Source organism: Homo sapiens, chromosome 17 (assembly GCF_000001405.40).
Source record: "Homo sapiens chromosome 17, GRCh38.p14 Primary Assembly".
Classification (NCBI taxonomy): domain Eukaryota; kingdom Metazoa; phylum Chordata; class Mammalia; order Primates; family Hominidae; genus Homo; species Homo sapiens.
In genome coordinates, this window is record NC_000017.11 from 75,108,061 (window position 1) to 75,132,871 (window position 24,811).

Genomic DNA, 24,811 nt, shown 5'->3' on the forward strand with positions numbered 1-24,811 from the left:
CACTGTACTCCAGCCTGGCGACAGAGCGAGACTCCATCTCAAAAAGAAAAAAAGGGAGAAGACCAATGAGGGAAGATGGGGTGGCCCATCTGATTCAGCAATCCCCATCTAGCTGATTGCCTGCGAACCTCTAGAGAAGGTCTGGGGCAGTTCCTGGGCAGGGAGGGATGGAGCTTACTTCCATCCTCCCTGTTTCTGGGCTCCTATTTGCTGCTCTGTCCAGCAAGAGGCAGAGAAACCCCTTGGGCACCTAGGGGTAAGATGCACTTCCCAGGCTGCAGAGGCTCCCAAGAGAAGCCAAAGGGCTTTGGTGAGGGTCCTGGGGCCTAGGTACCCAGACTAAGTTAGAAACTCCTGCCTCAGAGGGTGTACATAGGGCAGGGGCTGACCACAAGGACCTGAAACCTCAGAGGTGAGGCCTGCTTCCAATGGGGCTGCAGCTGGCTGGAGTGTGACGGCCACTCTGCCTTCATCCGGGCCCAGGGCTTAAGATAATGGTCCTTGCCTTTGTCAGCCTAAATAACAGAGAGGCTCTCTCAAAGAAAATGATATCTATTTGGGCATAGGGCATTGCAATGGTAGTATCCATGCCATAGTAAACTATATGGGTATTCAGGGAGGTAAAGGAAGACAGGCTTTAAGGGAAAAAATAGGATTACATAATTGTTTTGAAATATTTATCCTTAGGTAGAAGGATTAATAACAAGGGTGACCGCTCAAGGTTGGACAAGCGGTTGCTGGGCAGATGGCCATTCAAAAGTATGTTTTGTGCAAGGTTGTGACGCCCTTTGTGCAAGGTTGTGGTTTTTGCAGAGTCTTTGTGATAGTTTTCATTATCAGGTATTTATGCACGAGAACCCTCTTGTCATGGGTTTCTTGGGCTGTGTCCGGGTTTTTTTGTTCTGTTTTTTAACACAAGTGACTCCATTTAGATTAACAACTTTTGCACTCTCAGGACACTCACAGCCTAAGCCACCTCTACCCCTACGTTGTCAAATGCGATGGGAGTGTGGCTAGACCACCTCCTTCCCTGGTGCTTTGTTTCCTGTAACCACGAGCAATCTATCACACACCCGCTTCCTGATAATCTCCGAGAAGGAATCGGCCGAAGGGCTTCAGCATCCAGAAAGCCCCGAAAGCGCCACAATCAAGGCTCCTCCTCGGGCTCCCCCGTGCTGCCCCGGGCGCGCGCCATCCACCCGGCTGACAAAAAGCACCAGGACATGACCCAGTACCCTTTGATTTCTGTCCAGAGGTGGCGGACCCACCTCGGGGCTGGGATGGAGGGCGGGTCGGGGTCGCTAGGCTTTTTGCAAAAGGGGCAAAGGACTGATGGGGGGCGTAAGGAGCTGACGCCCGCGCTCCAAAGGGGCGTCCTGGTCAAGGAGGATGGGCCGCGCCCCCGCCAGCCGTGGGGACCCTGGAGGTGCTTCTGCCTCGACGTCCTCCAACATGGGTGCTGCCAGACTCTGCTGCGCTCCTGAGTTGCTCCTGGCGGAATTCCAGCCACCCGACATGGGTGTCTCATTTTCGGCTTCTGGGCCATGTCGGGACGGCGGAGGACCCCGGGGGACCGGCGGGAGAGTGGGAAAGGTGGGGCGGGAAAGCCGAGCGAGGCCCTCACTCGCCCATCTGTTGGCGGGGGCGGCAAGTGGGTTTCTTTCTTGCGTTCAGATTTTGCAGTAATTTGCATCTGGACATGGGATACGGGAGGCCAGGCTGCTCCTCGCAGTACACCCACCCACGCCTGCACCTGCCTCAGCGAAGCCGCTCGCCGCTGGTTCCAGCACAGGCTAAAGAGCTTCGGCATCCAGAAAACCAGAAGCGCGCCGCGCACGCGCGCCAAGGAGTTCGGCGACGGCCCCGCCCCTTCGGGGGTAGGGACAGCGCGGCTTCCGCCGGGAGCCCGGAACCGAGCCCAGGAGCCGGGGACGGTGCGCCAGTGCCCCCTCCGCGAGCCCCAACCAGTAGACGGTTCCCTGTCTCCCGCGCCCCAATTTCGATTTTCAAACGCAACTCCTACAGGATTCTGAGACCCCGTCCCATCTCCCATATCCCATTTCCAGCTGCAAATTACTGCAGAATCTGAACCCAGGAAAGAAACCCATTTGCCGACCCCCTCTTCCCTCTCCAGACAGGTGGAGAGCGGGTGAGGGTCTCGCTCGGCTTTCCCCCTGCACCTTTCCCACCCTCCCGCCCGTCCCTGGGGGTCCTCCGTCACCGCGGCCATGGCCCAGAAGCCGAAGGTGGACCCCCACGTCGGGCGGCTGGGATACCTGCAGGCGCTGGTCACGGAATTCCAGGAGACCCAAAGCCAAGGTGAGAGCCACGGTGGGATCAGGTGGCAGGGTCCGCTGTGACCGCCGCCCGGACCTGGCTTCAGTGCCGCTTTCCCGTTGCAGACGCCAAGGAGCAAGTCCTCGCCAACCTCGCCAACTTCGCTTATGACCCCAGCAACTACGAGTATCTGCGGCAGCTGCAGGTCCTGGATTTATTTCTCGATTCGCTGTCGGAGGAGAATGAGACCCTGGTGGAGTTTGCTATTGGTAAGGGCGGGGCCCGTTCCCTAGATGCCTAAATGGGCCAGGGTGAGATAAGTGAATTAGAAGTGAGTCCTTGGGGCCGGGCGTGGTGGCTCACACCTGTAATCCCAGCAGTTTGGGAAGCTAAGGCGGGCGGATCACCTGAGGTCATGAGTTCGAGACCAGCCTGGCCCACATGGCGAAACCCCGTCTCGTACAAAAATTAGCTAGACGTGGTGGAGAGTGCCTGTAATCCCAGCTACTAGTGAGCCTGAGGCAGGAGAAGCTTGAACCCAGGAGGCAAATGTTGCAGTGAGCTGAGATCGTGCCACTGCACCACAGCCTCGGGGACAAGAGTGAGACCCCGTCTCAAAAAAAAAAAAAAAAAAAAAAAAGCCGCACACAGTGGTGTGCACCTGTAGGCCCAGCTACTCTGGAGACTGAAGCAGGAGGTATTGCTTGAGTCTGGGAGGCAGAGGCCGAAGTGAGCTGAGATTGTGCTACTGCACTCCAGCCTGGGCGACAGAGTGAGACCATGTCTCAAAAAAATATGTTTTAAAAAGAGCAGTTTTGTAGCCGGGCGCGGTGGCACACACCTGTAATACCAGCACCAGCACTTTGGGAGGCTGAGGTGGGCGGATCACCTGAGGTCAGGAGTTCAAGATCAGCCTGGCCAACATGGTGAAACCCCATCTCTAACTAAAAATACAAAAATTAGCCGGGCATGGTGGTGGGCGCCTGTAATCCCAGCTACTTGGGAGGCTGAGGCAGGAGAATCGCTTGAACCCGGTAGGCAGAGGTTGTAGTGAGCCAAGATGGCACCACCGCACCCCAGCCTGGGCAACAGTGAGACTCTGTCTCAAAAAAAAAAGCAATTTCAGGCGGGTGAGGTGGCTCACACCTTTAATCTCAGCACTTTGTGAGGCCGAAGCAGGGAGATCACTTGAGTTCCGGAGTTCAAGACCAGCCTGGGCAACATGACAAAACCCCATCTCTGCTTTAAAAAAAAAAAAAAAAAAATTAGTCTGGCGTGGTGTCCCAGCTACTCAGGAGGCTGAGGTGGGAGGATTGCTTAAGCCTGGGAGGTCAAGGCTGCAGTGAGCTGGGATTGGGCCACTGTACTCCAGCCTGGGTGACAAAACGAGAATCTGTCTCAAAAACAAAAATAACTCATATTTAGTGTTTTCATATCAAGAGAAGCAGAGATGGCTTGCAGTCTGTAACTTATGGCTTCTGTAGTTGTTATGATCTTAAGACCTATTGAGTTATTCACTGGGTAGATATTTATTGCGCGTGTACCGTATATGCAAGCTACTGCTCTAAATGCTGGAGTATGGTGAACAGCTTAGGGAAAGGTCTTTGCCCCTCAGGAGCTTACATTCTAGTAGGGGGGACAGGTGGTTAGCAAACAAAAAAGATGATGCTCAGAAGGAAGTAAATGGGGTGATGAGAGACAGCAGTGGAAGGTGGGGGTTACTTCAGTTTTGGCCATCATGAGAAAGGCATTTTAGCCGGGACACAGCATGGGCAAAGGCCTTAAAACAGGAAGGAGCCAGACGGAAGGCTGATGTGGGAGGATCGTTGCAGTGAAGTGGAGAATGGCACAAAAAGAGTTTAGAGAGTTCAGTGGCACCAGAGCTTGCAGGAGTTTAGATCTAGGCCGTGGGAAATAGTTTGAAGCAAACAAAATTTTGAGAACAAACAAAAATTCCTTTTTCAAGCAATGCAGTGCCCACCTGTAGTCCCAGATACTCAAGAGGATCGCTTGAGCCCAGGAATTTGAGGCTGTCGTGTGCTGTGATTGCACGATTGCACCTGTGAATAGCCACTGCACTGCAGCCTGGCCAACACGCGCGTAGTCACCTGGCTGAAGTCTTGTCAGGCTTCTCCACTGTAAAATTACTCTTTCTTTCCCCTCTTTACGTATGATACCCATTGGAAGGAAGTCACTACATAAATTATCTTAAATCTCTCTTTTTATTCTCTTTTTCTTTTTTTTTTTTTTTTTTTTGAGATAGGGTCTCACTCTGTCACTTAGGCTGGAGTGCAGTGGTGTGATCATAGCTCACCATAAACTTGAACTCCTGGGCTCAAGCAGTCTTCCTGCCTTAGCCTCCCGAGTAGCTGTGACTACAGGTGTGCACCACCATGCCCAGCTAATTTTTTTTTTTTTTAATTTTTTGTTGTGACAGGATCTCACTGTGTTGCCCAGACTGGTCTCGAACTCCTGGCCCCAAGAAATAAATCCCTTGTAACCCTAAACAGACCCTCATTTCATAACACTGATTCTCGAAGGCCCCAACCAGGAATGCAAATGTTCCCCCTTCCGGTTTGTCTCATTGCCTCTTTGTGGTTTCTTTATCCCCTTTATTTCCTATAATCCAGAAATTGGGTTGAATGTCTTGATAGGATCAAATAACACATTTTTTATTTTATTTTATTTTATTTTATTTTATTTTTTGAGATGGAGTCTTGCTCTGTCGCCCAGGCTGGAATGCGGTGGTGCAATCTCAGCTCACTGCAACCTCTGCCTCCTGGGTTCAGACAGTTCTCCTGCTTCAGCCTCCCGGGTATGGGATTATAGGCGCCCGCCACCACGCCCGGCTAATTTTTGTGTTTTTAGTAGAGACGGGGTTTCACCGTGTTGGCCAGGCTGGTCTCAAACTCCTGACCTCAGGTGATCCGCCCGCCTCAGCCTCCCAAAGTGCTGGGGTTACAGTCGTGAGCCACCACACCTGGCCCAACTAACACATTTTTAAAAATACTTTTTATTTATTTATTTTTTTTTTTGAGATGGAGTCTTGCTCTGTCGCCCAGGCTGGAGTGCAGTGGCGCGATCTCGGCTCACTGCAAGCTCCGCCTCCCGGGTTCACGCCATTCTCCTGCCTCAGCCTCCCAAGTAGCTGGGATTACAGGCGCCCCCCCACCAGGCCCGGCTAATTTTTTGTACTTTTAGTAGAGACGGGGTTTCACCGTGTTAGCCAGGATGGGCTCAATCTCCTGACCTCGTGATCTGCCCGCCTCGGCCTCCCAAAGTGCTGGGATTACAGGCGTGAGCCACCGCGCCCGGCAAAAATACATTATGATAAGTGTGATTCAAATTTTTCAAAGACCATCCAGGTCTCCTCTAAAGAGGAGAGGAGATTCCTGGGGCCAGACTACAAATGAGGGTCTTCTCTCCATGAGGGGGCTCCAGCACATGTGTGTGCGGATTCACACCCCCACAGACAGCTGCCCCTTGGCCACTCCCTGGGTTTGGAAGTGCACACACCAACAGTGGCATTCACTCCTGGGAGTCAGGATCCAAGAGAGAGGCCCATGCAGCCGTGGGAGCAGGTTTAGGGCCTGGAGCTCCAGGTGCAGGGGAAGGACGGCTGTGGGCTTTGGGTGAGCTCCCTGGACTTACTGCCCCACAGAGGACCAGAGTGGGGCCTGCTAAAGCCAAGCCAGGGCAGGAGCCCCAGTTGCCCAGGTCCCCGAGTGATGCCAGCTCCTCTAGAAGATTATTATGCCAAACAAATATTCTAAAAAGTTGGTCTCTAAAACGTCCTCCGTCCCGTCCCTTTTCGTGCCTCTGCCCCCACAGCTGCTGCAGTCTGAACGGTGACGGTGGCCCCTGCAGAAGCATGTGGCTAAATCTCCACCAGGGGGCGATAGAGCTCCTCCAAATCAAGCTGCTGCCCCTGGAGAAAAATTGGCGGAAGTCACAGAGCAGTCCCCACCAAAAGTGTTTACCAAGTGGAGTCTTTCCTGCTGGCGTTTCCTCAGGGTCAGGAAGCAACTTTCCCAGGACAGGGGCACCCTGAGGTCCGGGTCCACTGAGCTATGGGGGCGGCGTGGGCCTGGGCTGGGTTCTTGCCATCCTGGGCAGCTTCCCGGCGTGGGTGACTGAGCCCGGGTCCTGGAGTCCGCGGTCCCAGCGTCTCCACTTCTCAGCTGATTCCTAGAAGCTGAGTCCCGTCCCTTCTCCGAGCGTGGTTTCCTCTCCCGCCTTGCCTGCGTCGCAAGCAGTTGTGGGAGCAGAAGTGTGTCTGTGCATCTGTGTCTCTGTGCAGGTATTTTAGAATTGTTAGGATCATTATCACCAGCTTTACTTTTCCCAACCATTTTTTTCCTCCTTTTTTTCTCTTCCTTCTTCTGCCACAGCAAGACCCCCCCGCCCCAAGCACAGTAGCTTTCTCAGCGTCGAATCCCTCCGTGGGACCATGTTGCAATGAAATTTCAACATGCAAATGAAATTTCTCGAAATTTCTCTTGTGTTTATTATGCATGACTGAGAAGGAGAGCCCCCGCGTATTTTCTTACTGCCGTCGTTTCCCTTTCTCTTAGTGTCTCTGCTTGGGGATCCCCGACAGGCACTTATTCTGCTGTTTCTGGAGAAGGCTCTGTGCTGCGCTTTGGAGCTTTGAGTCTTTTATCCGATGTGGCAGCCCTGAGATTGTGATCTCCCTGAGCCAGAGCCAGCCTTACTTCTGTCTGCATGGTTTGAGTGCTTAGGCCTTTTGGCCTAGGGAGGAGGAAAGAAGGGGAAGAAAAGGCAGGAGATCTTCACTTAATAGGTGTGGAGTCCTGGCCATGACTTGGTGCAACACCCCTGAGCAGGGTTGGTTCTGGAAGGACTGGCACAGTGGAGAGCTGAGTCAGATTGCCCATGGCTGTGGCTCGCAGAACCAAAACCAAGCTGGGTATGGTGGCTCACACCTGTAATCCCATTTGGGAGGCCGAGGGGGGTGGATCACTTGAGGTCAGGAGTTCGAGACCAGCCTGGCCAACATGGCAAAACCCCGTCTCTACTAAAAATACAAAAATTAGTTGGGTGTGGTGGCGCACACCTGTAGTCCCAGCTACTCGGAGGCTGAGGCAGAAGAGTTGCTTGAACCAGGAGACAGAGGTTGCAGTGAGCCAAGATCACGCCACTGCACTCCAGCCTGGGTGACAGAGCAAGACTCTGTCTCCATAAAAAAAAAAAGGAACCAAAACCATTGTCTGCTTGGTTGAGCAGGGTGGTTCATACCTGTAATCCCAGCATTCTGGGAGGCTGAAGCAAGAGGATTGCTTGAGCCCCCAGGAGGTCAAGAGCAGCCTGGGCAACATAGCAAAACCCTGTCCCTACAAAAACAAACAAAACAAGTATCTGCTTGTTGGCAGGCAGCACAGTGAGTTGGATGAGAGCTGGGCCCTGGGGTCAGGCAGGCATCTGGGTGTGGGCTCTCTCTCCTCCAATCATCTGTCAGATGGGGACAGTGCCAGTAGCTGCTTCACATCAGTTGAGAGAATTAAATGAAACACCACAGTGCTCTTTTAGGGTTAGTGTCTGCAGCCATAGATAGGATTCCCTTGGTTGCCATCCAAAGACAAATACCCAAAACCCTTTGAGGGTGAGCTGTCGCCCCTTGTCCCAGAGAGGTGAGGTGCGGGATGGGATAACGTCCTATCAAGGGAATCACTCATCTGCTCCAGGAATTCTTACCTTCTGGAAAAACATCACGGAATGACAGGAACACCGATCCTCAGCCTCCCAGAGGGTGCCCAGGCAATGTCAGGTGGGGAGAGCCTGGCTGCAGGCCCGGTGCTGTTGTGCCCCCATCACGGATGGCATTAGCTCACACTTGGGGAGCACCCACTGCATGCCAGGCGCTTGCATCTTGTGCATTGGACATAGTACTAAAGTAGATGTGCTTACACCGCCTTCTTTCCAATCAGGACTCTGAGGCTTAGAGAGGTTCTGTGGGCTGGCCAAAGGTTTAAAGAGTACCAGACCTAGGCCGGGCATGGTGGCTGACGCTTGTAATCCCAGCACTTTGGGAGGCCGAAGTGGGCAGATCACCGGAGGTCGGGAGTTCGAGACCAGCCTGACCAACATGGAGAAACCCCATCTCTACTAAAAATACAATTAGCTGGGTGCGGTGGCACGCGCCTGTAATCCCAGCTACTCAGGAGGCTGAGGCAGGAGAATCGCTTGAACCGAGGAGGTGGAGGTTGAGGTGAGCCAAGATCACGCCATTGCACTCCAGCCTGGGCAACAAGAGTGAAACTCCGTCTCAAAATAAATAAAGAGTACCAGACCTGAGACTTAAACCCAGAGCAGTCAGAGTCTACAAGCTAGTCCCTTGGCCCTTTTCCTGCCCTTAGAGGAGTTCCAATTCCTAGGATTGTGGAGCGAAAGCGAGAAAGGAGTTTACTCCAAATTGCTCATTTTATCAATAAGGAAGCTGCGGTGCAGACAGCTGCCCCTCGTCTGGCTGTCGCAGGCCAGGATGAGAATGCAGGCTTCCTTCCGTCTGTCCCTGCAGCCACCACACTCACAGGTACCCTTCCATGCTGGCTTTGCTGTGGCAGCTCTGAGTGAGGTCTGCTCTTTGGCCCAGCACTTCTGCCTCCTCTCTGAGGGCTGGAAGCTGGATGCTATCCAAACAAATGGATTCGCTCACCCTGCACACTAAGGCCAATTACTGACAAAAATCGCAGTGAGAAAGTGAGGCTTTGTTTTTGTTTTTGGTTTTGGTTTTTTTGAGACAGATTCTCACTCCGTTGCCCAGGTTGGAGTGCAATGGTGCAATCTCGTCTCACTGCAACCTCCGCCTACCTGGTTCAAGCAATTCTCCTGCCTCAGCCTCCTGAGTAGCTGGGATTACAAGCACCCGCCACCACACCCAGCTAATTTTTGTATGTTTAGTAGAGACGGGGTTTCGACATGTTGGCCAGGCTGATCTCGAACTCCTCACCTCAGGTGATCCGCCCGCCTCGGCCTCCCAAAGTGCTGGGATTACAGGCGTGAGCCACTGTGCCCAGCCAAAAGTGAGGCCTTTATTGTGGGGCGACAAGCAAGAAGAATCCGGCAGCTCATGCTTAAGACCCAAATTCCCAGATGGCTTATGGTTAAGGGTGTTCAAAGGCAGGAGGCAGAGGTTACAGACAAAGTTTTAAATCAACACCAGGAGGCTATATATTGGTTTGGCCTAAGAAGGCAGGATGTCTCCAAGGGATGGGGCACAGATCATAGGTGGCTTCAAAGATTTTCTGATTTGTGAGTGGTTAAGGAGGTGAAGCTTTGTCTACAAATTTGGCATCAGCAAAAAAGAATGTTAGCTATAACCTGTGGGCATGTCCTCCAGGCCCCTCAGGGAGTCTAAAGAGTGGTCAGAGTGTAGTTTTCAGTTCCCCTTATCTGAGGTCTCAGTGCCAGGGGAATTGTTTGTTGAGGGTCCAGATTTCTGAAAAGCAACTCAAGGACAGATATTAAGATGTTATCTTTAGGCCGGGTGTGGTGGCTCACACCTGTAATCCCAGCACTTTGGGAGGCTGAGGCGGGTGGATCACTTGAGCTCAGGAGTTCAAGACCAGCCTGGCCAACATGGTGAAACCCCGTCTCTACTAAAAATACAAAATCTAGCTGGGTGTGGTGGCAGGAGCCTGTAATCCCAGCTACTCTGGAAGCTGAGGCAGGAGAATCGCTTGAACCCAGGAGGCAGGCAGAGGTTACAGTGAGCCAAGATCGTGCCACTGCACTCCAGCATGGGCGACAAAGCAAGACTGTCTCAAAAAAAAAAAAAAAACAAAGTTATCTTTAGTTTCTATGGGGAAACCAGACATCCCCTGATTCTGACTTCCTTGGCTATTGTTTTAAGCTAACTATTACCTTCTTGCTTATCGAGTTGCTCACTTGCTTCTCAGGGCTAGCTAGGTGCCTGGAATTTCATGAAGGGACTCAAGATTTTCCTTTATTTCCATGCTTGGGGGCCTGCAGGCCCCTAGAGAAGCCCCTGCTCTCTCTCCATGTCAGCCAGGGCTTCAGTCTGGCCTCAAGTGTTCCCATCAGCGGTGGCAGTGGAACTACAGTGGCAGCAACCACTTGCCAACAGGGGCCTGGCCTCACTCACCGTCGTCTCTGTGTGGCGGTCTCTTTCTCCTGTGGCTTCCTCTCAGTTGCCCGCCGTCGGCACCGCCACAGCCATGAGGAAGGATCCGGCTACAGCGACCGCGGAGAACACGCACGGGTTTTCAAGTCTCTGGCCTCTTTTGTGGCCTCTTGTGGATCTGCCCATTTAGAGCAATTGTAGAACTAGTTTATTGACCCTTTCTGTGCTTCTGGCTGCCTTTTCTGCCCAGGGTCCAGGGCTCCTGTTTGGGTGCTGTTGGGATAAAAGCTGCCTCTCCTGGATGCCCGCCCAGTGCACACCATGTGCTCGCCACACGCCCACCTGAACCAGCCTGTCCACAAGGCCTCTGAATCGGTCATGAACGGCAAGGCCGATGGTTCTAACCCCTTTGTACATATCGGGAACCCCCACCACCAAGTGAGGGCAAGTCCACTGCCTGGGGCTCCCGCTGTTAGTGATAACTGGAGCCAGGACTTCGCCCCTGTCATCCAGGATCCAAATTCTGTGCCCTGGGAACCCAGCTGGCACCAGGCTCAGACTCTAGTCCCTTGTTCTGGCCTCAAACTCCTGGGCTCAAGTGATCCTCCGACCCCAGCCTCCCAAAGTGCTAGGATTACAGGCATGAGCCACTGCACCCAGCCCCAGTGGCAGTTCCTCTATGACACTGGTACACTGGACTGTACACTGGTACACTGGTACACTGGACTGGTACACTGGACTATTCACAGGGGATTATTTGTTCTTGGGTTTTCCTTCAGTGTCTTGAAAATGGCTCCTTCAATTTCAAGTCTGAAGGACAGACAGTACATAGAGTAAGCTACCCTTTGTGTGAGAAGGCAGGGTGGAGATGAACACACCTCTGTGTATGCACTCACGCTGGCAAGACACAAAAGTGTAATAAGGAAATGGGTTAGTACGAGGCAGGGAACAAGGTAGAAGGGACCAGAATGGTGGTGAGACTTCTGAAAATACCCTGTGATACAGTTTTTTCTTTTTTTTTTTTTGAGACGGAGTTTCGCTCTGTCGCCCAGGCTGGAGTGCAGTGGCGCGATCTCGACTCACTGCAAGCTCCGCCTCCCGGGTTCACGCCATTCTCCTGCCTCAGCCTTCCCAGCAGCTGGGACTACAGGCACCCGCTACCACGCCCAGCTAATTTTTTTTGTATTTTTTTTTTTTTTTAGTAGAGACAGGGTTTCACCGTGTTAGCCAGGATGGTCTCGATTTCCTGACCTTGTGATCCGCCTGCCTCGGCCCTCTCAAAGTGCTAGGATTACAGGCGTGAGCCACCACGCCCAGCCTGCTGTGAAGACTTTGACCCTGGGCTGCTTCAGCTCAGCATGGGCGAGTCCCCAGATGTAGCTGTATTTTGAGCTGCCCTTGCCGAGGGCCTGCCCAGCCACCAGGTGCCAGGTGCCAGCTAAGCACTTGTCAGAAGCATCACCTCGTTTTGTTTTGTTTTTGAGATGGAGTCTCGCCCTGTTGACCAGGCTGGAGTGCAGTGGCATGATCTGGGCTCATTGCAACCTCCGCCTCCCAAGTTCAAGCCATTCTCCTGCCTCAGCCTCCCAAGTAGCTGGGACTACAGGTGAGTGCCACCATGCCCAGCTAATTTTTGTATTTTTAGTAGAGATGGAGTTTTGCCATGTTGGCCAGGGTGGTCTTGAACTCCTGACCTCAGGTGATCCACCCTCGGCCTCCCAAAGTGCTGGGATTACAGGCATGAGCCCCCACGCCCGGCCAGCATCACCTCATTTAATCCCTGGGACCATCCTTCAACCTTCCCTTCATGGTCCAGGTTGTCCCTCCCTGCACCAGTGCCCAACATGGCGTGTGAGCTGAGGTCACCCACCTGACCTCCCTGAGTCTCCGGCTTTCTCATCTTGCTTTCATGTGGGGTTTCCTCTTTTGCCTCTCCAGGGTTCTCGTGTAGAGTTCCTGTGTGTCCTGATGTCTGGAAGGCCCTGCCCTTGCTTCTTGTTTTCTCTCTGTCTTGTGCAGAGCATGTTCATCAGGAAGTCGGAACTTGTTCTCCTTTCTGTTTTATAACGATTTTTAAGACTGCAGTATGGTGGCTGGGCACGGTGGCTCAGGCCTGTAATCCCAGCACTTTGGGAGGCCGAGGCGGGCGGATCACGAGGTCAGGAGATCAAGACCATCCTGGCTAATACGGTGAAACCCCATCTCTACTAAAAATACAAAAAATTAGCTGGGCATGGTGGCGGGCACCTGTAGTCCCAGCTACTCAGGAGGCTGAGGCAGGAGAATCACTTGAACCTGGGAGGCGGAGATTGCAGTGAGCTGAGATCGCACCACTGCACTCCAGCCTGGGCGACAGAGCAAGACTCGGTCTCAAAAAAAAAAAAAAAAAAAAAGATTGCAGTATGATCAACAGAATAAAATGCACATATCTTAAGTGTCAGTTTGGTGAATTTTGAAATTCATTGAGCTATGTGTACATCCATGTAAGCAGCTCCTAAACCAAGACGTAGAAACTCCCTTCACACCCACGCTGGGTCAGTATCTCCCACTCCAAGGCAACCACTATTCTAACCTCTATCCTGTGGATTTGCTTTGCCTGTTCTTGAACTTCATACAAACAGAACCATGCAGGATCTACTCTCGTATCTGATTTCTTTCACTCAACATTATGTTTTTCAGATTCATCCAAATTATTGCAGTATCATCCATTCCTTTGGATGTGCCACAATTTGTTCATGCATCTGCCTGTAGACGGAGATTTGAATTGTTTCTAGTTTAGAAGCTTTATGAATGAAGCTGTTAGGATCATGTTCATACAAATATGTACTCATTTCTCTCACCTAGGAGTGGAGTTGCTCAGTCCTAGGGTAGATGTGCGTTTAACGTCATGAGAAGCTGCCAAATCACTTTCCACGTAGTTACACCAGGTTATGCTATATGCTCCACTTCCTTGCCAACACTTAGTATTGGCCTTTTTTTGTTTGTTTTTGAGATGGAGTCTCGCTCTGTCGCCTACGCTGGAGCACAGTTGGCACAATCTCGTCTTGCTGCAACCTCCGCCTCCTGGGTTCAAGCAATTCTCCCACCTCAGCCTCCGGAGTAGCTGAGGTTGCATGTGTAGGCCACCATGCCTAGCTAATTTTTGTATTTTTAGTAGAGACAGGTTTTCGCCATGTTGGCCAGGCTGGTCTGGAACTCCTGACCTCAAGTGATCCACCCTCCTCGGCCTCCCAAAGTGCTGGGATTACAGGTGTGAGCCACTGCACGCAGCAGCAGTGTTTTTTATTTTTGCTATTATGTTGAGTGTGTAGTGGCATGTTCTTGTGGTTATACTTTTTATTTCTCTGATACGTAATGAGCACAGTTCCATATGTTTTGGCCCTTTTGCAAAGAAGACTTTGTTTAAGTCTTTTTGCTCATTTTCAAAATTGGGTTGTTCATCTTTTATTGATATGCAGGAGTTCTTGATGTGTTCTGGATACCAGCGTTCTGTCAGATGGATAGTCAGTGAATGTTTTCTCCTTTTGCCTTTTTACTGTGTTAATGGTGTCGTTTGATGAGTTATTCTCCTATCTCAGTGAAATTCAGCTTTTAAAAAAGAATAACATCTGGCCAGGTGTGGTGGCTCACGCCTATAATCCCAGCACTTTGGGAGGGCGAGGCAGGTGGATCACAGGGTCAGGAGTTCAAGATAAGCCAGGCCAAGATGGTGAAACCCCATCTCTACTAAAAATACAAAAGGAAATTAGTCGGGCATGTTGACGGGCGCCTGTAATCCCAGCTACTCGGGAGGCTGAGGCAGAGAACCCCGGAGGTGGAGGATGCAGTGAGCCGAGATTGCGCCACTGCACTCCAGCCTGGGCGACAGAGCAAAACTCCGTCTCAAAACAAAAACAAAAAAGAATAATATCTTTTAAAATTATTATTATTATTATTTTTGACGGGGTTTCACTCTTGTTGCCCAGGCTGGAGTGCAGTGGAGTGATCTCGGCTCACCGCAACCTCCGCCTCCTGGGTTCAAGCGATTCTCCTGCCTCAGCTTCTCGAGTAGCTGGGACTACGGGCGTGTGCCACCACGCCCAGCTAATTTTTTGTATTTTTAGTAGAGATGGGGTTTCACCATGTTGGCAAGGCTAGTCTTGAACTCCTGACCTCAGGTGATCCTCCTGCCTCACCACCCAAAGTGCTGGGATTACAGGAGTGAGCCACTGTGCCTGGCCCTGGCTTTTTTAATTTTTAAAAGAATATCTGTAGAGATAACGTTTTCCTATTTATTAAACACCTGCTAATGCGAGGCTGCTGATAGAGAATGAGACAAGGCAGAGTCCCCATTCTCACGGAGTTTATAGTTTAGTGGAGCAACAGCCAATATTTTGACAAATAACTACTGTAATGTCAGTAAGTGTGAAGGAAAGAAGCAAAGCCTGGTGAGGGGGGCGTGGTGGGGGGGCAGGTTAGGTGCTCACAGAAAGCTCTTAGAGGAGGTGGCGTCTTAGCGGGCCTATCTTATTGTATGTACAATCTGGTGTCCTTCTTCCCTCCTTCATCTTAAATTACAGGCATTTTCTAACATGAATTATTCTTTGGACACTTTTTTTTTTTTTTTTTAATTTTTGAGGTGAAGTCTCACTCTGTCGCCCAAGCTGGATTGCAGTGGCACGATCTCAGCTCACTGCAACCTCCACCTCCTGAGTTCAAGCAATTCTCTTGCCTCAGCCTCCCAAGTAGCTGGGACTACAGGGACACACCATCAGGCCCAGCTAATTTTTTTTTTTTTTTTTTTTACTTAGTAGAGACGGGGTTTCACTATGTTGGCTAGGCTGATCTTGAACTCCTGACCTTGTGATCCACCCGCCTCGGCCTCCCAAAGTGCTGGGATGACAGGCATGAGCCACCACACCTGGCCTTTGAAGACTTTTTTTTTTTTTTTGAGACCGAGTTTCGCTCTGTCGCCCAGGCTAGAGTGCAGCAGTGCGATCTCTGCTCACTGCAAGCTCCACCTCCCGGGTTCAGGCCATTCTCCTGCCTCAGCCTCCTGAGTAGCTGGGACTACAGGTGCCCACCACCGTGCCCGGCTAATTTTTTGTATTTTTAGTAGAGAGGGAGTTTCACCGTGTTAGCCAGGACGGTCTTGATCTCCTAATTTTGTGATCCACCGCGCCCAGCCTGAAGACATTATTTTTAAGAACTGTAAATATTGCCAGACACAATGGCTCACGCCTTTCATCCCAGTACTTTGGGAGGCCAAGGCATGAGGTTAGGAGTTCGAGATTAGCCTGGCCAACATGGTGAAACCCCCATCTCTACTAAAAATACAAAATTAGCTGGGCGTGGTGGTGCATGCCTGTAATCCCAGCTACTTGGGAGGCTGAGGCAGGAGAATTGCTTGAACCCGGGAGGCGGAGGTTGCAGTGAGCCGAGATCGTGCTACTGCACTCCAGCGTGGGCGACAAGAGCGAGGCTCATACTCAAAAAAAAAAGTACTGTATACTGTTTCATCATATGCATGTACCATAATTTAGCCATCTGGCTATTACCAAGCATTCTAGGAAGCTCCCAGTTTCCACGTTGCTCTTTTTCCATGGCCCTTCTCAGTTCTTCAGGGCAGGTTCACACAGGTAGACCCAGGGAGAAGCTCAAAGCAGCTGTTGCTGTGGCCTCTTGTGGGTCCTCTGGCGCCATCTTGGCTCATCTTTCTGCTCCAGCTCAGACTTCCTGCCCTGAAACTCTGTGCCCTTTTCTTTTCTGGCCCTCACCGCCTTCTTCATCTCTAAGGGACACTACCCGCTAGGCAGAGGAGCTTCAGGAGTTCCCTGCCACTGCGGAGAGGGTCCAAGCAGCTGGTGAGCTCTGGCAGGCACCCGGTCCATCCTTGGAGACTCCTAGGCCTCTGTGTGGGGAGGGAGGGAGAGGGTGGCTCTCCTGAGGCCTCCTCCTGCCCCCACCCTCTGGTTTTCCGCAGTCTGGGTGGCAGTGCCCTGCCCAGGCGCACCTGGGTGTGGTGATGACTCAGCTGCCAGGCAGTGACTCAGGCTTCATCTTATCACACTTTACACAGAGAGAAATCCCATCACCCCACCCGCAGTCCAGTGTGCACAGGAAGGCCGCTCCCGTCAGCTCGGGAGACATGCCGCGGGTGTGTCTGAGCAGAAGAGTCCGACCACAGCACTTCCACTGCCCCTGCTCCAGACTGAGCCTGGCATCTGCCCAAGGCTGGATTCGTTGTCCTTACTGCTTCCAGAGGGCCCCGCCATTTCCCATGGGAGGGCCGCCATTTCCCATGGGAGGGCCGAGGGGCAGAAGGCTCCCATCTCTTTAGCGTTTTGGGCAGCTCACTCAGTCTCTCATAGCCTTGACTTCTCCCATGGAAATGGGGGTGATGTTAGCACTTGTTTCTAGGGTTCAGTCATGTGTCCAGTGCGTGCTCAGTGAAGTGTCCACGGTTCTAGGAACTTGAGCCCTGCCTTATAGCTCCTGGTGGAAGGGACAGAGCAAGGACAAAAGGCAGCCTACAGAATGCCACAGCCACGCTAGGGGCCACCCTGTGCTTTAGCAAGTGCTGAAGTGGGACTGGCAAGGGAGGCTCCAAGGGCCCCATGGGGAGAGGCGCTCAGTCAGGGCCTGCTTGCCCTCTGCTGCTGCTACTCTTTCTCAGGACTCCAGAGAGGCCAAAGAGCTCCTTCCCTCCCTCAGATGTGTCCTGCCTGTGAGCTGCAGCCCAGATCTAAGAACTACAGAAGTCCAGGGTGGGCAGGATGTCAGGGAGCCACACTGTCCAGCCCCCTGACCATCTGCGGTTCTTTGAACCCTTTCCCCCCCGGGTCAGTGCTTAAAGGATCAGGTGATGAAGGGCTGCCCTGACATGGTAGAGCACCTAGTCGGGTATCCCAGGAAGACGCCACTTGCAAGGAGAGCAGTGGAGGGCTTGTTACCAGCAAGAGGGTGTCAGTGTGTGACAACTGGGGGCTGAAAGGTCTCAGGGATGGACTGAGGTTGGAGACTGCAATGAGTGCCAGGGAGAGGGAAGAACAGACAGGACGGCTCAGGGGTAAGGAGCACACGGACATCTGGAATTTACTCCACATGCAGTGGGATCCTTTAATAATGTTCCCCCAGCTGGGCACGGTGGCTCACACCCGTAATCCTAGCACTTTGGGAGGCCAAGATGGGTGGATCACCTGAGGTCAAGAGTTTAAGACCAGCCTGGCTAACATGGCGAAACCCTGTCTCTACTAAAAATACAAAAAAAAAATTAGCCAGGTGTGGTGGCATGTACCTGTAATCCCAGCTACTTGGGAGGCTGAGGCAAGAGAATCACTTGAACCTGGTGGGGCGGAGGTTGCAGTGAGCCGAGATCGCGCCACTTCACTCCAGCCTGGGTGAAAGAGTGAAACTCCATCTCAAAAATAAAAAAGGTTCCCTCAAAGCAGGACCAGCCTGACCCAGGTGCTGCTTGGGAGCAGGCAGCAGAGTGAAACCTTGGCAGACTCCTGCCCCAGTCAGTGGAGGAGGGTCCTTGGCGGGGGCACCATGGGCACCTGTCCCTCTGGCTGGGGAAGATGTCTTAGTTGGGTTTCAGGTTCAGGTAAGTCTTCTCTTTGTTAGTTTCCAGAAAAACAGGGGAAGTGGGTAGAGCTGTGGCCTTCACTGATTGGTCACTCAGGACACTGGGCATGTTTTGCAAATGAGCTGAGAGGTGGCTTCCTCCACTGAGCAGGAACCAAAGGGAGGGGTACCGTGATGACAGGAAGCTCAGGATGCACAGGAAGTCATCTTCCCGCAGGGAGCAGCCAGTGCTGAGCAGAGTGACCTCCAAAACAAGGTAGCATCTGTCCCCAAGGCTAAGAGGTCATTACATTGAGGGGGCCTGACTTGAGGGAATGGGAGTGGGATTCCAGCCACATTACCTGAGCACGTGAGTTCTTTGATCCAGAACCACTGATCTGTCACTGTTGCCTTTTCTGTTTTCCCCCAGAATCCTAGTAACGGTGACATGGAAATAACATTAAAATGCTCTATTCTCTTAATTACACTATATCTGTCAAATGGTACACTCCTTACCATTAATCTACAATCACTGCATAGCCATGAATGTGAATTTATTGGCATGGAAAGATGTTCACAATACATTGTTTTTTTGTTTTTGTTTTTTTTTTTTGAGATGGAGTTTCACTCGTTTGCTCAGGCTGGAGTGCAATGGCGCAATCTCAGCTCATTGCAACCTCAGCCTCCTGGGTTCAAGCAACTCTCCTGCCTAAGCCTCCCTAGTAGCTGGGACTATAGGTGTGCTCAACCATGCCCCGCTAATCACAATATATTGGTAAATGAAAAAAGCTGGGCGGGGCACAGTGGCTCATGCCTGTAATCCCAGCACTTTGGGAGGCCGAGGCGGGTGGAACACCTGAGGTCAGGAGTTCGAGACCAGCCTGGCCAACATGGTGAAACCCCGTCTCTACTAAAAATACAAAAATTTAGCCGGGCATGGTGGCACATGCCGGTTATCCCAGCTACTTGGGAGGCTGAGGCAGGAGAATCACTTGAACCCGGGAGGCGGAGGTTGCAATGAGCCGCGATCATGCCACTGCACTCTAGCCTGGGCAACAGGGCAAAACTGTCTCAAAAAAAAAAAAAAAAAAAGCTGGCGTAAGCCATGCACAGTGGTGCATGCCTGGAGTCAGTCTTAACTCCCAGGGAGGCTGAGGCAGAAGGATGGCTTAAAGCCGGAAGTTCAAGACCAGACTGGACAACATAGGGAGATCCCACCCCATCTCAGAAAACTGACCAAGCAGCAAGCAGAGTATCCCATTTTTACTAAATACTTACATATATTCACATATTTCAAATTGTAGAATGAAAAACAAATGTTAGGTCAGCCGCCTAACATTGAGACGTAGTATTTGCTCTGTTGCCCAGGCTGGAATGCAGTGGTGCCATCTCGGCAACCTCCACCTACCGGGTTCAAGCTATTCTGCCTCAGCCTCCCAAGTAGCTGGGATTACAAGCATGTGCCACAGGCCCAGCTAATTTTTGTGTTTTTAGTAGAGACGGGGTTTCACCATGTTGGCCAGGCTGGTCTGGAACTCCTGACCTCAGGGTGATCCACCCACCTCGGCCTCCCAAAGTGCTGGGATTATAGGCGTGAGCCACCGCTCCCAGCCATTTGTTTGTTTTTGAGACAGGGTCTCACTCTGTCGCCCAGGCTGGAGTGCAGTGGTGCGTTCATGGCTTACTGCAGCTCCACTTCGTGGGCCCAAGCAGTCCTCCCACCTCAGCCTCTCAAGTAGCTGAGACTACAGGCGTGTACCATCATGCCTGGCTAATTGTGTGTGTTTTGGTAGCGACAGAGTTTTGCCATGTCGCCAAGGCTGGTCTCGAATTCCTGGGCTCAAGGGATCCTCCTGCCTTGGCCTGCCAAAGCACTGGAATTACAGGTGTGAGCCACTGTGCCCAGCCCATTCTAGTATTTTAACAGTTTTATTGCTATATGATGGACATAATAAACTGTACATATTTAAAGGGTACAATTTGATAAATTTTGGCATAAGTATATACCCATGAAACCATCATCTTATATTTTTATAACTTTTATAAACTGTTCTAAGGTGATGATACATTACAGGGTTTTAGTTTTTTATTTATTTATTTATTTCTGAGACAGAGTCTAGCTCTGTTGCCCAGGCTGGAGTGCAGTGATGCAATCTCGGCTCACTGCAACCTCCGAGTCCCAGGTTCAAGCAATTCTCCTGCCTCAGCCTCACAAGTAGCTGGGATTACAGGCACCTGCCACCACACCCGGCTAATTTTTGTATTTTTAGTAGAGACAGTTTCACCATGTTGGCCAGGCTGGTCTCGGACTCGTGACCTCAGGTGATCCACTCACTTCAGCCTTCCAAAGTGCTGGGATTACAGGCGTGAACCACCGTGCCCGGGCCGGCCTTGTTTTAGGTTTTTACATTTAAGAAAGGGGAAAAAAAAAGCGTATCAGCCATTGAACTTGCTGAACTGAGAGGGAAAGGGATTTGTGCCCACTTCTGGAAGGGTGGGCTGTGGCAGGCTGGAGCAGGCAGGCAGGCCTTTCTGGAAACTTGAGAAGGCAGGAGCCGGAATGGGCTTTGGATGCCTTGTGCTGGGGCCAGCTTCTCAACAGCCTGGGCCCCTACCTGGGGCTCACGGGCAGGGGAGGTGGGAGGAGGCCCGGGGCTACAGCATCCAGACTCTTCCTTGCTCTCCCACAGGAGGCCTGTGCAACCTGTGCCCAGACAGGGCCAACAAGGAGCACATCCTGCACGCAGGAGGTGTCCCACTCATCATCAACTGCCTATCCAGCCCCAATGAGGAGACGGTGCTGTCTGCCATCACCACGCTCATGCACCTGAGCCCGCCGGGCCGCAGCTTTCTCCCAGAGCTGACCGCCACGCCCGTGGTGCAGTGCATGCTTCGCTTCTCCCTCTCGGCCAGCGCCAGGCTCCGGAACCTGGCACAGATCTTCCTGGAGGACTTCTGCTCCCCCCGCCAGGTGGCCGAGGCCCGCAGCCGGCAGGCGCACTCTGCCCTGGGTATCCCACTGCCGAGGAGCGTGGCCCCACGGCAGCGCTGATCCATGGAGACTGCGAGACCGTGGCACCCCTACTGCTGGAGACCACAGTCCTGATGTGGACGCAGGGAACGGGGAGCACATACTGCCCCATTGGTGCCTTTTCAGCCATCTGAAAGGCGGGTTCTTTCAGCAGGACAGGCATTTACACTGATGAAACGCCACTGGGAGTGAGGAAGCCAGACTCCAGAGACACGGAGAAGATCAAACTGGAGCTGCGTTCATAGGCTGGCACTCTCAATCCTACATCAGGTGCCACCACCACCAGACTCAGGCCCTGGTGTAAGAAGCGGCCAAGTGCCTGGACCCAGAGGCTTTGCAGGACAGTGTTCTCAGGAGCTGGGCCTGAGGCTTAGGAGAGCTGCCTTCGCTGCAGGAAATCAGGGATTATCCCTTAACAGAAGTGTCTGGAGTAGTTTTCAGGTATAGGAATGAGATGCCTCGTGGTGAAAGGATCTCACCCTGGGAAGATGTGGTGCCCCCTCCAGGGCTCTGGAGGATGGATGCCTCCCCCAGGGGCTCTCCAAGCTGGGCATTTGGGCCTGGTGGATGCCAACCTGGATAACCTGTGGCCCAGCATTGACTGTCCACCCAGCCTTGCTGTTAGGCACCATGACTCCAAGATGAAGATGTGGTCCCTGCCCTTGAGTGACAGCCCAGGGACTTAATGTGGCCATCGGGCATCAAGCACAAGGCCATGCAGGTGATGATACGTCGGAATAGAGGCACCAGCCCTGGTAACTGCATCTTCTCCCCTTGCCACCCCATGGCCCCGGCTGAAAGCTTCGGCCCTCCTCTGCTGTCACTCAATGATGGGGAGCCCTACCCCAGAAGTGTATCCCACGAGGGCATCAGGGACGCAGTGAGTGTTGCTCAAGGGAGTCAGGAAGAGACGGCAACGTAAAGGATGTGGCTCCATGTCCATGGTGCCCCCTGGTCAACATAAGGAGCGTGGGATCCGATGGAAAGGTGGAGCTCAGGGAAAATGGGGGTCCTTGCCTCTCGTGTACCCCCTCAAGGCTGACCCCTTAGATGGCCCAGGAATGGCAGGTGCTACAAAAATGGTACCCACGTGGGCATGGAAATGGGGCAGATTAGGGGACCACTGGACTCAGAGGGGAGGGAAGGGCTCATCAGCACCCGCTCAGGGAGCCTGTCCCTTTATGTTCCCAAATAAAGGGTCCTAGAAGACTAGAAAGCCAAGGTCTTTTATTAAAGGTCCCGACTGGTTTTCCCACTGTATTTCCATGCCAGCCAGGGTCCAGGGACAGCCTCTCGGGAGGTACCGGGTGGCTGGGCCTGGGGCCCGGTAGCACAGCGCTTAACGGTATCTGCCTGCTCCACTCCACGGGGCCAGAGGCACCAGCACGATGCCGCCCCGACTCGGCTCTGCGGTGGCCCCTGTGGGCCTGCCCTTCCTTTAGCTCCAGCTGCTGCCCGCGGCATCCCCGCTCATTCCCGCTGCGCAGCTCCGCGCTTGCTATCTAAGATCTCCCTCCAGTTGTCACTCCAGGAGAGCAGCCGTCTCCTTGTCGGGGGCAGGACCAGGTGCCGATTGTGGCAGCAGGTGAACAAGATGTGCTCCCAGCTTGGGGTCTCCTCCTGGCCTAGGACAGTGAAAGACAGCGCGCTGCCATCTGTCATGGGTATTATTACTCCCTCTCCCTAATCCGGGCAGGCCAGAGGCCTGGAGGCTGCCAAGGATAACGGGTCCAACCTCGAACTGTGTCCTTGTCATCAATGAGCAGGTCCCCCAAGACCACCGTCTTGTCCCTTGTCAGGATAATTCGTTCTACGAACTGGGGCCCCAGGTGCTGCTCCACCCAGCGGTACTGTGTAGAAAACACAGTCTGTGAGTAGGGCCTGATGGAAGCCGGAATTCAGGGATAGGGACTTGGCTCTAAGCCCTTGAGAGCCCCCCACCCCCACCTTCTGGGTTTCTGGTGGTTTCTTTTTAAAATCAGGATTTAGGCAGCTCCACGTGCGGAGTAGGGGCGGGGCAGCCACACCTTCTCACCCACACAGTGGTGGTACTTCAGCAGGGGGCTGGTGCAGATGAAGACCTGCGTGCTGCGGAGAAGGACGCGGTTACCGCCGGGAGCCAGGAGCCCGCCCAGGACTCCGCCCGCCCCCCTCTCTCCTTACTCCGGTAGGTCGTTCATCTCCCGCACAGCGTCCAAGGCTCCCGGGATGGGCTCCAGGTCCAGGAAAAAGCCCGGGGCTTCGTACACACTGGCCACTTTATCCTGAAAGACAAGAGTTCTGGGTCCCGGCTTCCCGTTCCCGCGAGGACCCGCAGGGAGGCTCCTGGGGGCTCCGGGCCCGAGCTCAGAGGGGCGGAGGGGGCGTCGGTCAGGGGCACGCGCCCAAAGGCTCCTCCCCAGGGTGCGCTGCCCGCGGGTTCCAGGGTGAGAGCTCTGCGCCCTTCACAGAGAAGGGGGAGACCCCCGGAACGGAGCGAGCGGGCCCTGCCCGGGTGGGGACCCTGCGCCCCCTACCGCCAGGTCGGGCCGCAGGGCGCGGTACTGCTCGCGGGCCAGGAAGCCGCGGCGTTGCTCCAGCGGCACGTGCGGCTCCTCAGGGAAGCGGCGGCGGAAGCCCCGCAGGAGGCCGGCCTCGAAGTCGGCCAGGACGCCGTCCATGTCCACCAGCACGCGCACGCTCCGCGCCATCGCCGCCGGGCCGGAGCTGCGAGCTCTCGGGGTCTGGGGGGCGCGGGCTCGGCCGGAAGCGGAGGGAGCGCTGCTTCCGGAGTCCGCCGGGCTGATTTGCATAGAGTGTCCGGGCCGCCCCGCCCAGGTCGTAAACCAGTGCCGACGGCCCTGCGGTTGCGCGAGGCCATCCTAGGGTTCGGGTGCAGGGACGGCTTTGGGGGGCACTTTTCTGACCCTGCGCTTCTTCGGGACCCAGCCTTTGTCCCCATCAGCCGCCTCCCACTTTACGGCAGACGTACCCCCGTTCACCCCACGTTACTAGTAGGGGACCGACCTTCCGGGGGCCCAACAAAGGGATGCTCTGAAATACTGGGAAGCATCTAACGAGGAGTCAAGGGTCCTAAACCCGTGGGGCTAGCTCCACATTTTTTTTCTTTTTTTCTTTTTTTTTTTTTTTATTTTGAGACGGAGTCTGGCTCTGTCGCCCAGGCTGCGGCGCAGTGGCGGCGCGATCTCGGCTCACTGCAGCCTCCGCTTCCCGGGTTCAACCGATTCTCTTGCTTCAGCCTCCCGAGTAGCTGGGATTACAGGCACCCGCCACCACGCCTGGCTAATTTTTGTAGTTTTAGTAGAGACGGGGTTTCGCCATGTTGGTCAGGCTGGTTTCAAACTCCTGACCTCAAGTGATCTGCCTGCCTTGGCCTCCCAAAGTGTTGGGATTATAGGCTTGAGCCACCGCACCTGGCCAAAGTCTTATTACCGCAGTACCGTGGTCTCAGTGGATTGCTTTCGTCTGTGCAGTGGAGCAGGAACAATCCCTCGAGGACTACAAAGTGAAATGAATCTGTTAACTGGTTTGTGTAAGTCTAGCTCGTTAAGAGACTAATTCACACTAGAGTTGGCTTGAAACATGGGAGCTTCAAGTGTGGTTTCCCCCGGAAAGATGATTTTGATCAAGCACAGGTAATCAGGACTGTCCTCAGGACTTTATGTGGAACTGACATCGCTTACCTACTCCCGTCTAGAAAATGCTGAACAGGGCCAGGTGCGGTGGCTCACGCCTATAATCCCAGCACTTTGGGAGGCCGTGGCGGGCGGATCATCTGAGGTCGGGAGTTCAAGACCAGCCTGACCAACATGGAGAAATCCTGTCGCTACTAAAAATACAAAATTAGCGTGGTG

The 24,811-nt window shown here is 53.3% G+C and overlaps 3 protein-coding genes across 20 annotated transcripts in view, besides 8 other annotated features; 2 read left to right on the forward strand and 1 right to left on the reverse strand.

Annotated features, from left to right (window-relative positions):
• Positions 1 to 2,089, forward strand: part of SLC16A5 (solute carrier family 16 member 5) — a 22,765-nt gene extending 20,676 nt beyond the window's left edge. For 11 of the 12 annotated variants that reach the window (XM_047437027.1, XM_047437028.1, XM_047437031.1 and 8 more), the window contains one exon: positions 1,675 to 2,089. In XM_047437027.1, the coding sequence (XP_047292983.1) occupies positions 1,675 to 2,089 (415 nt within the window). The remainder of the gene's footprint in view (positions 1 to 1,674) is intronic. The other variant, XM_047437023.1, reaches the window with a different exon arrangement.
• Positions 1,900 to 1,979: a silencer, noted in NCBI's record as "silent region_8955". NCBI's record gives its function as "represses an Ori minimal core promoter by ATAC-STARR-seq in GM12878 lymphoblastoid cells {active_cell/tissue: GM12878}" and the evidence as "EXISTENCE:reporter gene assay evidence [ECO:0000049][PMID:35858748]".
• ARMC7 (armadillo repeat containing 7) lies at positions 1,909 to 22,212 on the forward strand. 4 transcript variants are annotated; one of them, NM_024585.4, is made up of 3 exons: positions 1,909 to 2,319; positions 2,403 to 2,546; positions 20,617 to 22,212. In NM_024585.4, exons 1-3 carry the CDS (start codon positions 2,229 to 2,231, stop codon positions 20,976 to 20,978), a joined length of 597 nt encoding a protein of 198 aa, NP_078861.1. In that variant the 5' UTR covers positions 1,909 to 2,228; the 3' UTR covers positions 20,979 to 22,212. The 4 variants fall into 4 exon arrangements, with proteins under 4 accessions (NP_078861.1, NP_001291200.1, NP_001291202.1 ...); NM_001304271.2 differs by having other exon boundaries at positions 2,403 to 2,482; NM_001304273.2 differs by lacking the exon at positions 20,617 to 22,212 and adding an exon at positions 6,109 to 6,760.
• Positions 5,880 to 6,419: an enhancer, noted in NCBI's record as "H3K4me1 hESC enhancer chr17:73110035-73110574 (GRCh37/hg19 assembly coordinates)". NCBI's record gives its function as "activates a minimal SCP1, AML or CMV promoter by ChIP-STARR-seq in primed H9 embryonic stem cells {active_cell/tissue: H9 hESC(primed)}" and the evidence as "EXISTENCE:reporter gene assay evidence [ECO:0000049][PMID:30033119]".
• Positions 6,861 to 6,920: an enhancer, noted in NCBI's record as "active region_12734". NCBI's record gives its function as "activates an Ori minimal core promoter by ATAC-STARR-seq in GM12878 lymphoblastoid cells {active_cell/tissue: GM12878}" and the evidence as "EXISTENCE:reporter gene assay evidence [ECO:0000049][PMID:35858748]".
• Positions 6,961 to 7,010: an enhancer, noted in NCBI's record as "active region_12735". NCBI's record gives its function as "activates an Ori minimal core promoter by ATAC-STARR-seq in GM12878 lymphoblastoid cells {active_cell/tissue: GM12878}" and the evidence as "EXISTENCE:reporter gene assay evidence [ECO:0000049][PMID:35858748]".
• Positions 15,913 to 17,112: an enhancer, noted in NCBI's record as "P300/CBP strongly-dependent group 1 enhancer chr17:73120068-73121267 (GRCh37/hg19 assembly coordinates)". NCBI's record gives its function as "activates an origin of replication core promoter dependent on BRD2, BRD4, P300/CBP, MED14 and CDK7 cofactors, with strong dependence on P300/CBP, by STARR-seq in HCT116 cells {active_cell/tissue: HCT116}" and the evidence as "EXISTENCE:reporter gene assay evidence [ECO:0000049][PMID:35650434]".
• NT5C (5', 3'-nucleotidase, cytosolic) lies at positions 22,168 to 23,682 on the reverse strand. 4 transcript variants are annotated; one of them, NR_045513.2, is made up of 5 exons: positions 23,474 to 23,682; positions 23,121 to 23,221; positions 22,905 to 23,021; positions 22,693 to 22,807; positions 22,168 to 22,582 (listed from the first exon to the last, which is right to left on the reverse strand). NR_045513.2 is itself a non-coding variant. In NM_014595.3 (5 exons), exons 1-5 carry the CDS (start codon positions 23,645 to 23,647, stop codon positions 22,428 to 22,430), a joined length of 606 nt encoding a protein of 201 aa, NP_055410.1. In that variant the 5' UTR covers positions 23,648 to 23,682; the 3' UTR covers positions 22,168 to 22,427. The 4 variants fall into 4 exon arrangements, 3 of the variants coding, with proteins under 3 accessions (NP_055410.1, NP_001239306.1, XP_011523002.3); NM_014595.3 differs by having other exon boundaries at positions 22,985 to 23,045; NM_001252377.2 differs by lacking the exon at positions 22,693 to 22,807 and having other exon boundaries at positions 22,168 to 22,577; positions 22,985 to 23,045.
• Positions 22,575 to 22,664: an enhancer, noted in NCBI's record as "active region_12736". NCBI's record gives its function as "activates an Ori minimal core promoter by ATAC-STARR-seq in GM12878 lymphoblastoid cells {active_cell/tissue: GM12878}" and the evidence as "EXISTENCE:reporter gene assay evidence [ECO:0000049][PMID:35858748]".
• Positions 22,701 to 22,905: a silencer, noted in NCBI's record as "fragment chr17:73126856-73127060 (GRCh37/hg19 assembly coordinates)". NCBI's record gives its function as "represses an EF-1alpha promoter that drives an FKBP-Casp9 reporter gene in an ReSE screen in K562 erythroleukemia cells {active_cell/tissue: K562}" and the evidence as "EXISTENCE:reporter gene assay evidence [ECO:0000049][PMID:32094911]".
• Positions 23,275 to 23,844: a silencer, noted in NCBI's record as "silent region_8956". NCBI's record gives its function as "represses an Ori minimal core promoter by ATAC-STARR-seq in GM12878 lymphoblastoid cells {active_cell/tissue: GM12878}" and the evidence as "EXISTENCE:reporter gene assay evidence [ECO:0000049][PMID:35858748]".

Coding starts and splice junctions, on each gene's coding strand:
- NT5C (NM_014595.3), bottom strand. CDS start 23,647: ATGGCGCGGAGCGTGCGCGTGCTGGTGGACATGGACGGCGTCCTGGCC. Junction 22,808..22,984: donor ACCACTGTGTGGGTGAGAAG/GTGTGGCTGCCC, acceptor TTTTCTACACAG/TACCGCTGGGTGGAGCAGCA. Junction 22,583..22,692: donor TGACAAGGACACAGTTCGAG/GTTGGACCCGTT, acceptor TCACTGTCCTAG/GCCAGGAGGAGACCCCAAGC.
- ARMC7 (NM_024585.4), top strand. CDS start 2,229: ATGGCCCAGAAGCCGAAGGTGGACCCCCACGTCGGGCGGCTGGGATAC. Junction 2,320..2,402: donor CCAGGAGACCCAAAGCCAAG/GTGAGAGCCACG, acceptor TTCCCGTTGCAG/ACGCCAAGGAGCAAGTCCTC. Junction 2,547..20,616: donor CCTGGTGGAGTTTGCTATTG/GTAAGGGCGGGG, acceptor GCTCTCCCACAG/GAGGCCTGTGCAACCTGTGC.